This window comes from Homo sapiens, chromosome 13 (genome assembly GCF_000001405.40).
Source record: "Homo sapiens chromosome 13, GRCh38.p14 Primary Assembly".
In the NCBI taxonomy this organism is placed as follows: domain Eukaryota; kingdom Metazoa; phylum Chordata; class Mammalia; order Primates; family Hominidae; genus Homo; species Homo sapiens.
In genome coordinates, this window is record NC_000013.11 from 31,270,795 (window position 1) to 31,286,283 (window position 15,489).

Below are 15,489 nucleotides of genomic sequence, written 5' to 3' on the forward strand. Positions count from 1 at the left end.
TACAAATGCTGCAGGATTTTTTGCTCCTTAGTTCAGCTAATCTGGATTCTTGTCTCACAACCAGGAAGAATTAGGCACACAGACACATTGAAGGGTGAGGAGGATGGAATGTATTTAAGTGAAAGGAAAGCTCTCAGCAAAGAGAGGGGGTCCTGTCAGCAGGTTTCCACCTCATAAAATGAATACCAGGGCCCCTACACACGAGTTGAAGAGGACTCTCCTCCCCTGCATAAGGCGTGAATTCCTGGTGGCTCCACCCCATTCTTCCAGTGCATGTGGGCCTCCATGCATGTGGGCCTCCAGTCCACTGCAGGCATGCCTAGGCAAACCCCCTGTGCAGGTTCCCATATTCGGACAAAACATTTGGTGTAAATAAACACTTGTGGGGTTGATCAGAGATTCTCTGGGGGCCCTTCCCTATCTGCCTAGGCATTTGGCTGTCTCCCACCTCTATCACAAATAACTGTTCTAATTTGAGACTCATCCATGTTGATTCATGCAGCTCTAATTAACTTATTTTTACTTTCTATAGTAGTCTCCCATATGACCATAATAATTTATTTATCCGTTCTCTTGTTAATGGGCTTCTGATTGGCTACTGGTTTTTTGCTATTACAACCATTGCTTCTATGAATATTTTTAATGTGTATCATGGTGATCATCTGCAAGAGTTACTCCAAGGCAGAAGCTTTTAAACTTTTTTTTGACTATGACCCACTTTAAAAAAATAAATTTTCATCATGACCCAGTATATTTGTGTGTGTGGTGGTGTTTCTGTTATTGATTTCTAACAGTATTATTGTAGTCTATACAACAGTCATTTGAGATACTTTTAGGCTTACTTTATGGCCTAGCTCATGTTCAGTTTTCATATCTATTAGATTGAAGAAAGTATTAATGATGCTTTTCAGATATTTTCTTCTTTACTTCATTGCTTCAATCCTTCATTTTACTTTTGTTTTGTCTGCTTATCATTTACTAAGGGAGGAATGTAGAAATCGTCCATAATAATGGTGGATTTTTCCTATGGAACTGCCAACTCTTGCTTTTTATACTCTAAGGCTATGTTAATTAGATGCATACAAACTTAGAATTGTTACATCCTCTTAGTGAATTTGTCTTTATCTTTAGTAATGCTGTTTGTCTTAATGTTTATTTTGTTGACATGAATATTTCAATGTTAGCATTTTTTGGTTGTTTGCCTCATAATCGTTTTTTGTCTTTTTCTTTCAATCCTTTTGTGTCCTTATCTTTTTTAGATGTGTCTCTTTTAAAGAGGACATGCCTTTTCCCCCCACCCTCCAGTTTGAAAATCTTTATCTTTAAACCAGATAGCAAATTTACCTTTATGTTGATTGTAATTACTGATATATTTGACTTCTATCACTTTATTTTGTGCCCCTCTCCTTATTTTCTATTTTTCCTTTTTTTTTTTTTTTGAGACAGAGTCTTGCTGTGTCACCCAGGCTGGAGTGCAGTGGCGCCATCTTGGCTTACTGCAACCTCCACATCCTGGGTTCAAGCAGTTCGCTGCCTTAGCCCCCTGATTAGCTGGGATTACAGGTGCCCGCCACCATGCCCGGCTAATTTTTTTTGTATTTTTAGTAGAGATGGGGTTTCACCATCTTGGCCAGGCTGGTCTTGAATTCCTGACCTTGTGATCTGCCCACCTTGGCCTCCCAAAGTGCTGGGATTACAGGAGTGAGCCACCGTGCCCGGCCCCTCTATTTTTCTATTTTAAAGTTCCTTGTCTTCTTATTCATTTATTTATTAGTCCATATTTTTTCTTTTCTGCTATTTTAGAAGTTAAATCTGTCTGTACTTTACTGATTATTTTAAATATTTAACATGCTTTCTTAACCTAACAATGGTTTATTAATCAATAGCCAGAAAATTTGAGGGCCTTAGGATAATTTAACTCTGATTATCCCACTCCCAACTTACATGCACTTGTTGTTCAATATTTTTGTCCCTTTTTCTTTTCACCCTGGAAACTTAGATATTGTCATTATTTTATGCAGTTAACATTTTTATTAACTCATCATATATTTGCCATTGTTTTTGCTTATCATTCCATCTTGCTTCTTAGGCCTTCCAATTGAATCCTTTTTATTCCTCCTGAAGTGTATATCCTTTAGAATTTCTTTTAGTGAGGTGGTAAATTCTCTCAATATTTTTTCTTTAACAATATTTATTTCAACTTTGTTTTTGAAGCATGCTTACATCATGTAGATGATTCTAGGTTGCCAGTCATTTTCTGTCATCACAAGTTTTATTCAATTATTTTTCTTTTTTCTTTCTTTGTTTTTCTTTTGAGACAGAGTCTCTCTCACTCTGTCACCCAGGCTGGAATGCAGTGGCATGATCTTGGCTCACTGCAACCTCCATCTCCCGGGTTCAAGCAATTCTTCTGCCTCAGCCTCCTGAGTAGCTGGGACTACAGGCGCGTGCCACCACGACCAGCTAATTTTTGTATTTTTAAGTAAAGATGGGGTTTCACCATATTGGACAGGCTGGTCTCGAACTCCTGACCTGGCGATCTGCCCGCCTCAGCCTCCCAAAGTGCTGGGATTATAGGCGTGAGCCACCACGCCCAGCCTCAGTTATTTTTCAAATGTGCTTACTTGTTTTGTGTAATCTTTTCAAAATAATTTTTTCTCACGTTTTAAAGTTTTTCTTTTCTTTATAAAAATATATTAAGCATAGTAATTTTATAATCTGTTTGATAATTCTGATAGCTGAAGTTTTTTGAGTCTGATTAAATAAATTATGTCTGCTGGCTCTTGTTCGTTATCTTATTTCTTTTTTGTGTGTGATTTTTTTTTCTCTGAGTGATTGTTCTGTAAGCACCCTTGTTCCTTTGGAAAAATCCTCTGAGCCGTATATTAAAGTAGTGGTTCCTTAGTAAGGATTTACATTAGCTTCTGCCTGTTGCTAGTGGGTTATACTGACGAGATAATTTAAATTATCAGTTTGAGATGTTTTGGGACCTCACAGGTGGCACAAATTAGGGAGGCCTGGCTTTTGGTTGCAAAATCTAAGAGGAGATTTAGAGATTATTCTTTTCCCTCCATTTAGACCCATGGTCCTAGCTTTATGTAGGGGGATTGCTGTTGGTCACACCCCACCTTGGGTGGGTCATAGACTTCAGTCTCTTCACTCCTATCAGAAACTCAGCCTTGCCAGAGGTCAGCTGATACCTACTAGGGAAAACTACCCTTGGTGCCTTTTTTTCCCCAGGATCTCACTTTCCCATTTTTGTTCTCGCAGATTCCACATTTTTGTGCCAACTTAGCAATACATGTAAATATTTAAGGGCATTTTACCCAACATTTGTAGATGTTTTAAGCAAGTTGAGTATTTGGGGTATGTGATTACCATACTAAGGAAACTGGAGCCATAATATTTTCTTACATCTCTCTCTGTGATGTTGTAGAATGTGTTCTTTCCTAAAACCGCATACTTCGGAATTTTTTGGAGGTCAGAATATTGATTCATAGTTAATTGCTTATTGTTAGTAATAGATTACATTTATTCACATGGAATTGTCATTTTTTTAAGTTTAGGAAGTCCTGTTGAATACTGACAAATTGATATGGTTCAGCCTACTCTCTATGGAAGATGTGTTCTGCTTTCCCTTGAGATATTTTGTCCCTTCTTATACTTGTGTTGACTGAGTTCTTTCATCACTGCCTGTCTCCTGTCTCGTGGCAGATTGCCCTCTACATCTGGGACAAAGGCGGAGGACCTCCCCTGACCCCAGTGCCTGAGTTTTGTACCAATGACGTGGACTTCTACTGTGCTACCACATTCCATTCTTTTCTACCGCTTTGTGTGAGTAACAGAAGAAAAACTTCTTTGCATATCAAAGGAAAAATTTAGATGCTGTGCATAATGTCATCCTAGCACTTTAAAATGAATTTTAAATTCAGGGCATTCATGTGCAAGTTGGTTATAAGGGTATATTGTGTGATGCTAAGGTTTGGGCTTCTGCTGATTCTGTCACCCAAATAGTGAACATGGTACCCAATAGGAAGTTTTCAAACCTTGCTCTTCTTCCTTCCTCCCCTTTTTAGAGTCCCCAGTGTCTGTTGTTCCTATTTTTATGTTTGTGTGTACCCAGTGTTTAGCTTCCACTTATAAGTGAGAACATGCAGTATTTGGTTTTCTGTTTCTGCATTAATTCACGTAGGATAATGGCCCCCAGCTGCATCCATGTTGCTGCAAGTACATTATTTCATTCTTTCTTATGGCTGCATAGTATTCCTTGGTATATCTGTACCACATTTTCTTTATTCAGTCCACCATTAATGGGCACCTACATTGATTCCATGTCTTTGCTATTGTGAATAGTGCTGCACTAGCACTTTACATACTAAAAAGAAAATCAACATTTTCCCTGTGCCAAGTAAGAACTATATATCATGACTCTAGTAATAACAATCATACAAGGTTTAGTACTATTGTAACTCCATCTTACAAATGAGAAGAGAGAGGCACAGAGAAGCCAAGTGCTTGCTTATGGCTACACAGCTAGTAGGGAGGGAAGCAAGGGCTCCCCTTTACTCCAGAGCCTTTGTGAGGGACTGCCCACCATAGCGCTTTAGGGTTAGTGTGCCCAGACTCATTTCTTTTGTTGATGATGTAGGATGCATTGATTAGAATTTCTGTTCCATTTCCTGGAAAGGCAATTTCCAGTGCTTTCTGTGACACCCACGCCTTCTCCACAAGCCCGCACCCTTTACTCTTTCAGCAGGTGGCTCTGCCTTTCATCTCAATGACAGCCATCCAGAACTTTCAGAATGAATTCACTTGTTTTGGCAGACCCAAGGTCCAGCCCCAGTATGAGCCTGGAGACCCTGACACTCACAAGGTTGTTAACAGCTTTTCTCATAAGAAAAAATGTGTTCACCAACCTCAGATATTGTCGTTATTCTCAAGTCAGTCACACACAAGTCTGTGTGTGCCATTTGAAGAGATAAATACATAGACACACACACACACGCACACACACACACCCCAAAACACAGTGCAGCATTGAGAGAGAATCTGTAATTGTTTGCAGTTCCAGAGGGGGAGACCAGTCTTTCTAGGCAGAATGCTTGCTTGCTCTTTCAGTGCTCTCCTAGTGCCTTGAGTGACATGACAAAGCTGTAGTTAGATGTCACTATAAACCAGCCCCAAATTATACAGGAGTCATGATTAACTATGATTGCAGGCCTAAGGCAGGTAATAAAGGGGTCATGAAGGGCTTGGGTGTGTCTTGTTGACAAATCCCTCTTTGTGCCCCCTTTCATCTGTGTGATCAGCCTGGGCTCCAGGACTGCCCCCACCCCATCTCCACCAGGTGTTTCAAGGAATCCTACCTTTGGCAGAGGAGAAAACATCCTTAGCCTAGACTTGGGTCGCCAGTAAAGAGGCCGTAAAAATGTTTTCAACATTAAAGTAAGGCCAGGCCCAGAAAAGGGCAACATCTCTTAATTTACACTAAAAAATCCCCCCTATTTCTCTCTTTTTGTCAAAATCTTCACCAGCTGGAGAAAGGAAATGAGAGGTAACTAACATTTATTGGTCAGTTACTATGTGCTTAATAAATTATAGTAATAATAGCAGCCTTGCAGTGGTTATTATTTTTTTTTCTAAACAAGCAGACTGAAATTCTGGAAACTTGTTAAGGGGATGCACAGTCCGTGCACAGTGTAGCAGGCAGGTCCAGGGCTGGCTGACAGAAAGGCTATGTTGTCAGCTGACCTATGTTTCCATTTCTCCCCTAAAACTTTATGCCGGAAATATGTTTGGTATCCTTGACATTGGTTAATTTGAACTCTAGAGCGTGTGAGATCTAGTGTGGGTGTGAAGTTAACGCTGACTCACATATGCATACATTTTTTCTTTTCTTTTTTTTAGAGAAAGCCAGTGAAGAAGAAGGATATTTTTGTTGCAGTAAAAACATGCAAGAAATTTCATGGTGACAGAAGTATGTTTTGGGTTATTCATTTTATTGAACGCTAAAATCCAGACTACCTTCTAAAGAAAAGTACCAATGAATTCTTGAGTGTAAATTCAGAAAAGGGATAATGACAATTCGGATGTTGAAGTGAAAGCAGTTATTTAATCAATACTCCTCATTGCACCATTTCAATCACCAAGATCAATTAGGAAAGAAAATTTTGTATTGAAACGTGAGTGGTCATAGCCGATACTGCTTATGGCAGTATTTTAAATTGGAAATGGAAAAGCTCAGTGTGGCAGTCTTGGAGACTGTGTGAAAAACAGTCCATTTTGTCAAACAATGTATTAGGTCTGTGCGCAGTCTCTAAACGGGATGAAGAATGTCAGGGGATTTCAAGGTAACAGCATGCCAACAAAGAAAAAAGACTTTTTCTTCTTTTTCAATTTATTTCAAATGCTTACCTTGGAACTTGTTAGTTAAGAGATGTATTTGCTCATGAGTAGATAATATTGGAGAAGAAGAAAAAGCCGCGGTACAAACAGTGAATCTCTTCTTAAGGAAATCCTGGCATGCAGATTAATGTTGTTTTTATTCAGGTTTTTGATGTCATTACAGAATTCTGCTAAGTTGTGACGATAATGTAAAAAAAAAAAGCCCATCCTAAATATAAATAGACATAATTTCTCTCTTTTTGCACCTTATTTCAAGCAACACTTTTCTGAAATTGAAAATTAGGCAGTCTTTTGCATTTTCTAATTTTAGTGCGTATTTTAATTTTTTTCCCCATGAAAAGACTGTCAATTTCACCAAGGATGTGGTATTTATGTAGGAGAGATTTCTAAACCAACTGTCATTTTCATGGGATTGGAACTACTGAAGAAGTTCATTTATATATTTTATGTGATAATATGATACATACAAATTATATTTTACAGGGGAAGATGTTTTCCAAATAAAATAATATTATAATTTGAGATTATAGTATTGTCTAAGACATCAACATCAATTAAAATCCAGCTATAATCAATTATATCTTAAAAATACATTAACTATAAACCTTCATATTTGCCTAAAATGGCCACACTAAATTCCAAATCCTATTAAATCAGTCTATATGAATACATTTGTTATGCAACAAGTCCTAAGATACTGTGAAGAATCAGTATAGCAGTTAAAATAAAATTTTTATTTATCATAAATTTAACCTAAATTTAATATCCTTTTACTTTTTTCATAATATGGAAGGGTTTTGTGGGATTATTTTGACAAATACCTTCTTTAAATAGGTGTTGGGGAAATGAACTATACCGCTTTTTGTTTTGTTTCTTTTACAGCAAGCAGGAACTGTTTGAATTGATTTAATTGATCTTGAAGCTACACTTGGAGTAGTGATTGTTTTCACAATATTAATGTTAAGGATGGTGTTGCTGGTACTTTTTCTTTGAAACACATTTTTCAGGTCACAGTGAAGCAGTAAAATTAGGGACACTCCCTGTTGTATTTTTTATATTCTACAGAAATGAAAAAAAAAATAGTTTGTTAATTTTGATTTAGTAATTTTGAATAATCTAGTTTACTGCTTTCTTATTTTGCATAAGTTTGAGATACTCTTTTTAGATATTCATGAAATCCTTTTCTGTTTGAATTTTGAGTCAAAAGTCTTTAAAAATTACAAAATCTTAAAAGCCTATTAGGAGCATTAGAAACAAACCTTCCAAAGCCAGATGCATTGATTTACTGCTGTTAATTTGAATCTGGGATCATTAAAGCATGAGGCCTAAAATGTATCATGAAGTTTTCATATTTGGGTTTCTGTGGTAAGCCGTTTTTCAACTTGGATATGTTTGTTTGAAAAGATAGTCTAAGGCAACAGGATTTCAGTGACTTTGAAGTCCATTTTGCATGACTTCATGTAGCCTGCCAAGCCACCACTGGGCTCTGCCCCTCATTTTAGAAGCCTAGTCCAGCCATCAGTTGGCCCAAAGAGTTATCCAGTAATACCAGTTACAAGGATAACATCACACTAACTGCTTCTAACTGCTAATATTTCTTACATTTTCTGGTGTGTTTTTCACATATGTTCTATTACCTAGTTTCATGTTGACACTTCCTCGTGATATGATAATTATTGTTATTCACTTGTTGTGGAAAAAGCTGAGTATGGAATGATACACAACTGGCTCAGTTTCTTGTATCCTATTGAGTAGCAGAGCCAAAGACTTGGGTTTTCTGGCTCCTAAGTCCCACATTTTTTTCTACCACAGCACAGCTATACTGTAATCTCCTTGGATGTATTACAAACTCCATACTTGATAAATAGTCTTTGCTATTCATGTTGATGTCCTGCTATGCTCAAGGTCAGTTTTGACTTGGCCAGAAGCTGTGAAAGTAGGCTTTCCATTTTTAGTAGCAATGGGGATGGCAAGGAATTGAAACCCACACAGGATCTAAAATACAAATCGAGCTGAGAATTTAGACTGCCACTCCTATCTAAGCATATCACTGCTATAGTCAAGCAGAATACATGGTCTGGGGTGTTGGATTTTTTTTTCATTTTCTTTTCCCTGTGCACTCTATTAGTGGGGGAAACCAGCCCCCAATATTCAACGTGAGTCCTTTTCTATTTTCCCTAAGTGTTGGCCAGTCTGAGAAATAAAGGGAAGGAGTACAAAAGAGAGAAATTTTAAAGCTGGGTGTCCGGGGGAGACATCACATGTTGGCAGGTTCTGTGATGCCCCCTGAGCCGTAAAACCAGCAAGTTTTTATTAGTGATTTTCAAAAGGGGAGGGAGTGTACGAATAGGGTGTGGGTCACAGAGATCACTTGCTTCACAAGGTAATAAAATAGCACAAGGCAAATGGAGGCAGGGCGAGATCACAGGACCAGGGCGAAATTAAAATTGCTAATGAAGTTTCAGGCACACATTGTCATTGATAATATCTTATCAGGGGACAGGGTTTGAGAGCAGACAACCAGTCTGACCAAAATTTATTACGCAGGAATTTCCTCATACTAATAAACCTGGGAGCGCTACGGGAGACTGGGGCTTATTTCATCCCTTATCAACGACCATAAAAGACAGACATTTCCAAAGCGGCCATTTCAGAGACCGTCCCTTGGGAACGCATTCTCTTTCTCAGGGATGTTCCTTGCTAAGAAAAAGAATTCAGCAATATTTCTCCTATTTGCTTTTGAGAGAAGTGAAATATGGCTCTGTTCTGCCCAGCCTACAGGCAGACAGACTTTAAGGGTATCTCCCTTGTTCCCTGAATATCGCTGTTATCCTGTTCTTTTTTCAAGGTGCCCAGATTTCATATTGTTTAAACAATTTGTGCAGTTAACGCAATCATCACAGGGTCCTGAGGTGACATTTCATCCTCAGCTTATGAAGATGACGGGATTAAGAGATTAAAGTAAAGACAGGCATAGGAAATCACAAGAGTATTGATTGGGGAAGTGATAAGTGTCCATGAAATCTTTACAATTTATGTTCAGAGATTGCAGTAAAGACAGGCATAAGAAATTATAAAAGTTTTAATTTGGGGAACTAATAAATGTCCATGAAATCTTTACAATTTATGTTCTCCTGCCATGGCTTCAGCCGGTCCCTCCGTTTGGGGTCCCTGACTTCCCGCAACACTCTGTGGTAGAAATACTTCAGTAACAAAGGCCAAATGATGAAGGAAAAAAATCTAGAGAAACTGTACTTGTGTTTGCCAAGTTGAGAGTGGGGTGTACTGTTAATTGTGGGCACAGTGTCCCCTGGCACTGGGTGGTGATGGCCCCCACTCCTGCTTCATTATATGTTGGTTACCTTCTGGGATGAGAAGGAGAGATGGAACATGTTCTGCTCAAGGCCGTAGTCACAGCAAGGGAAAATATAGATTGCATTTATTTTTTATACTCTCATGGAAGAATTGATAATAAAACCAAGTTTCACAATGAAAAGAAATATTTTAAATATTGTACTTTCTTGGCTTAACAATAACACATTTATGTAATTGCTTTTGTCTGGATTCTGACTTAAGTGAAACAGCATTCTTAGAACACAACAAGCAAAAATATACTCTGTCTTTTGGCTCAAGGAAGTAATACATATTGACATCATTGAAACAGCAGCACCCTCTGAGAGGCAAGCATTTAGTAGGATTTTAAAGAAACTTGAGAACTGTTACATAAGGTGATGAATTGGGCATAGCATGTAAAATTATATTTAAGCAAGGAAATGATCTCTGGTGTTTTAATATTCAACTTGATTGCTTCCTCTTGGGTTCTGTGTTTCCCACTGTGTGACCTGAGCTGTCAGAAAACCTTAAGAATTTTCTTTGCATCATTTTTCCATGCAGTTTGTGTACATGTCTCATGTACCTCGTGGCAGCCACTGGTTTTGTTCATCAAATGGTGGGTTGTGGGATGCTCTCCTGCAGTCTCCCTCTAATTAAAGAGGTTAAATTGCCGTTTGCTCAGCCTTTAGTTCCTTTCCACAGCTTCCTAGGCTCTTAAAAATTAGCACTATATTCCTTTCAGATTAAAAAAAAACAAAAACAAAAACCTGTTTGCTGTCTTTACTGCTGTGGTCTTGTCTAGAGGCAAATCTGAACAAACTGATTGAAAGGGGTGTTTGGTGGCTGGTGTTCTCTTTGACTAAAGAGGCTTACATGTACTGTGGTACAGTCTGCTTACTTAAAAGGTGAGGCTTGAATTAAAATACAGCCAGATAGAAGGCCAGACTCTAATCAAATGAGGTGATTAGATCAATGAATGAAGAGAGGAGAGGAGTCAGGTGTTGCCTTTCCCTGGCTGTTGAATAGCTGATGTTCCAGATTGCCCTACAGTGTTGTGTTAGGGCATCCAGGAGGGATACTTTTCAGGCTTAGGTACACCTCAGTCTTTAAAATGAGGAATTAGGACACATTCATGTGTGTGTCCCTAATCTGCTCCTGAGAAGAGAAGTGCAATCAGGGTCTTATTTTGTGACCACTGACTTGCACACTGAGACAAAAGGGCCATCTGCAAGCTGAAAATAGTGGATTCCTTAAAATAAAAACTATTCACATTTGATGGTGTGGTAGTTTTAATAAAATGTTCAAGTGTCAAGTTCATTTTCATTTATAATCTGAGACAGTTTTATAAGTCACCTCCCTGGGGGTAAAAATGCATGTTCTGTCCTCATAGTGAGACACATCTTCTGCTTAGAGTCTAGAAAGCTCTAAGAAAGATTTATGCCATCTGTGCAGCTGGCATTTTTATAGTAAAATTTTTTTTACTTTGCTCCAAGTTTAAGTTATCTCATGACAAACTTTCTTGAAAGAGGCATTCACTATTATTATAGGAAGTATACTTCTTTATTGAAAAGGAGATAATGTATCAGGTAACTTATTAAAGTATTTTCTCAAAGTTTAGTATCTTTAGGAATACAGTGCCTCAATACAATATAAAATATTTTGTAAATAATAGAATGAATTCATTTTAGAATTTAAATGATGCTAATAAAATAGACCATTATTCTAAAAGTTTAACTAATTTAGAATCAACCCTGGTTGAAAATAAAGCCTTAAGCTGTTTTTTTGGAAGACTTTAAATCCTTTATGGCTAAGAGATGACAGACAGGGCCGAGTGCGGTGGCTCATGCCTGTAATCCCAGCACTTTGGGAGGCCGAGGCGGGCGGATCACGAGGTCAGGAAATCAAGACCATCCTGGCTAACACGGTGAAACCCTGTCTCTACTAAAAAATACAAAAAAAATTAGCCGGGCGTGGTGGCGGGCGCCTGTAGTCCCAGCTACTCAGGAGGCTGAAGCAGGAGCATGGTGTGAACCCAGGAGGCAGAGCTTGCAGTGAGCTGAGATCACACCACTGCACTCCAGCCTGGGCAACAGAGCGAGAGAGTGAGACTCTGTCTCAAAAAAAAAAAAAAAAATGACAGATGCATGGAGGTTATATTGACAAGGGGAGAGATGTACAAACTGTTGAATGCTTTAGGTATTGTAGAATCATAATATCTTAGTATATCTAAATGGTTGGCTTGTTTTAAAATGATTAATCAAAGGCTGAATTGCCTTTATGAATAAAACCTTCCTTTAACAAGCTTCCACAAATAATCCTAGGCCTTTTATTGAAATGCCTACAAAATTCAGTCCTCATTCAACTGTTTATTGAGTGTCTACTATGTCCTAGGCACTGTGCCAGGTGTTGGGAAATGAGTCATACACACACTAATTCTTACCTTTAGTGTAATTTCTATTTTACCTGTTTCAAAGTAAAAGAGAAAGCAAAAGTGCTAACTCACCCTTGATTTTGATTTTAATTTTATTTAACTCAGTTAATTGAGAAGAAACACCCGTGTTCTTTAATAAACCTATTAGAGCGAAAAAGGACTGAAAGCCTAAAGGCTGAGGAAATTGAAAGCAAAATTTGCACAGCCTGCAGGACCCTTGCTGGGGACTGAGGAAAGTTCTTGACCTTTCCTCACAGCTTCTTCCAGCATTATGCAATGGAGGATATTTTACCCAACAGTGTGAACTTTTAGTGGCTGCAAGCTGCAGGGAGCCCTTTCTGGGGTAAGTTCTCTTGCTTATTGTATGCAAAGCAAACTGCCACAGCAGTGCCAAGGTTAACATTTTTGTTGTGCTGAAATTTGGAAGTAGAACAGAGTGAAATTTTTTAACATTTCTTTTTTCCTTTTTTTGTCCGCCAGTAGCCCTATTATTTAGTACATCTTTGACCATTTTGACATGTAGAAACCTTTAGAACTATCTGCTTTTTTATGGTTGCAGAAAAATTATATTTTAATATATGAAATTAATATTTAACTGGTAATTTGGTAATTTTAGCAGATGTGCAGAACTCAGTTTTTTTAAAAAAAAAGCCAGTGAAAGAGATTATAAAATGATGCACTTCTGTATTTTCTATATAAGGGCTGTCTGAGCTGGACTCAGAATTTGCTTACTTATTAGCTAAACACTTAAATTTTACATTGGAACATCAGTTTTTGTATATATTTCTATTAGAGTTGGGAACAGGGGAAAGATACATGATCTGATAAAGTTTCTCAAAAGTTAAGTGAAGATTTGGTTCATCAGAGTTTTGACAGGATATAAAATCTAAATGTTTTTTCTATTGAAAAAACAAGAAACCACTTTTTAAAATTCAGAGATGCATAGGCAGTAATTTGTTTTTTAAGTATAGAAGAAAAGAATTACTTGGTCAGGTGAATTAATATCAAGTAGTGGTAAGTCTATATGTCAGGTATGCAGACAGAGCTATCTTTGAGCCTCCAAAGCCAAAATACAGAAAACCAGGACAGCTTTCTGTTGTGTTTATTGTGTTAAAACAATTTAGCTGCTAATGATAGAGTTTTAAAGCCTGCAGTAGTTTTGAATGTTAGTACTTCCACATTTTTCAAAAGTACAACATCGTAATATCAGTCATCATATGCAGTGATTCTCATTTGGCAAGGTCATGCCCTTTGTAGGGTTGGGTAGTTCTGTTAGAATCTTTGGGTGGGGACATGCATAGTTTGCAAAGGTCTTCTCATGCTCCACGGTAAGAGGGATGGATTTTCTCTTACCGTGCTCCGTGGTAAAAGAAAAATTAGTTAACATTAATGTAAACACAATAGCATAATCAAACCAGAAAATTTATCATTATATGGAAGTAAGTGCATTCATCACCAGGAATGAGAAATGCTTTACTCTAGAGAATGTTGAAAATGCTTCAAGAAGAGGGTTTTAGTCAACAACGTTGGCATTTCTCAGGGTTGGAAGCAAGCAACTCTTGGAACACCTGAAGAACAACCAGTAATGTTTCTCTTCCTTTGTAGATGATTATACTGCCATTTTGAATTTTTAAGCTTCCTTGTGTAACTGTGCCAGTGATTGTCACCTCTGTAATTTTTTCAGTACCTATTGTTAAGCAGACTTGGGAGAGCCAGGCAAGTCTCATTGAATACTATAGTGACTATACTGAAAATTCCATTCCTACTGTGGATTTGGGAATTCCTAATACAGATAGAGGTGAGTCATAATTCTTACTACTCTCCTTATTAAACATTGCCATTCTGTAAATACAGTAAATTAGGTTAGGATAAAAATGAAATGTTTTATAAGTGCTATAATTTTTGCCTCATATTAGTTTTTTCCCTTCTCTCAGATACTGATTGGTTCTTTCAAACTAAGGGCTTTATAGTACGAAGTGTTGCAAGTTTTTAGTAGCTTATATCCTATAATTGAGCACATGATAGTTACAGCAGAATTTAACAATAGATTTTTCATACCTTCATAATTCTTTGCGACCATGATGGGGTGTTTATTATATTCCCACATAAAGCTTCTCTCCTTGTCAGTCTTATAGTCTAGTTCACATATTATATTACCCGTGAGTACCACCTAATCACATTCTACACTAGTTATATGTAGAATAAACTGTATTCTATATGTTAAGATTTTAATTAGTAAATTGTTGGAAATAAACCTGCTTTTCTCTTCAAATTGCAGGCTTTCTAATTAAAAACACTTTTTAGGACATACAGAGTGGAATGGTAGACATTGGAGACTCCAAAAGGTGGGAGAGTAGAAGAGGGGCGAGGGATGAGAAATTACCCACTGAGTACGATAGACACTCTTCGGGTGATGGCTTCACCAAAAGCCCAGACTTCACCACTGTACAATATGTCGATGTTACAAAACTGCACTTGTACCTCTTAAATCTATAAAAATTTTAAAAAATTGTGTCAAAAAATGGAAGTGAAAATTTGGCCACCTCATCTTCAGATATTCTTTATTCATCTTAAGTTTTATCCAGTGTTCCTGCCACCCTTTGTTCTTTAGTTTTTTTGTTCCCCATGCCCTTTTATGAGTAAAAAAAAAAAAAAAAAAAAAAAAAAGTAGCAAACTGATTATGTTCTATACAGTAATTTATCTTATTTTATGTTAGTGTCACTCATAATTCTTTCATTAATATAGTACAATGCAGAATCAGATATGCCATCTCTGTAGTTACCAATTCTTCTAACAAGGTTAAGTGTATTACTGAGTCTGTCTGTTGCTGTTTGATTTGGAAAAACGATTTTAGATTGGGTTTAATAATCATGTATTTACTTATACCTTATTTGATGTCTTCATTACTAGTCTGGTCTTATTGTCTATATTTATATTTGTTCTAAAAGGGATTTGAGGTGGCTTTGAAACACGTATTGTAATGGTTAAAAATACACAGAGATCAAGAGTAAAGAAAATAAAGGTCAAATTGAGTGGTTTAATAGTCATTAATATAAGTTAATATTTGTGCTCCACTGTGTCACCAAATAATTAAAATGAGGGGCATATTCCTGTTTATCAATTTGACTACTCTTCCCAAGTGTTTTATTTTTGTCCAGCATTTACCATTAAAGCATTGTAATTTATCTATTGGTATCTGAAGGACTGTTACTCTGTCTTACTCAGCACTATATCTTTAGTGCTTAGTACCTGCCACAGTATCTGGCATGTTAGAAACTTAGTGGTAGTAAATATTTACAAAATAAGTAAATGAAGGTAT

At 37.3% G+C, this 15,489-nt stretch overlaps 1 protein-coding gene across 6 annotated transcripts in view; it reads left to right on the top strand.

Moving 5' to 3' along the window:
- Positions 1-15,489, top strand: part of B3GLCT (beta 3-glucosyltransferase) — a 132,302-nt gene that overhangs the window by 70,820 nt on the left and 45,993 nt on the right. For 5 of the 6 annotated variants that reach the window (NM_194318.4, XM_011534936.2, XM_006719768.4 and 2 more), the window contains 3 exons: positions 3,715-3,834; positions 5,908-5,977; positions 13,854-13,967. In NM_194318.4, the coding sequence (NP_919299.3) occupies positions 3,715-3,834; positions 5,908-5,977; positions 13,854-13,967 (304 nt within the window). Of the gene's footprint in view, positions 1-3,714; positions 3,835-5,907; positions 5,978-12,426; positions 12,513-13,853; positions 13,968-15,489 lie in introns of those variants that run through there. The other variant, XM_047430111.1, reaches the window with a different exon arrangement.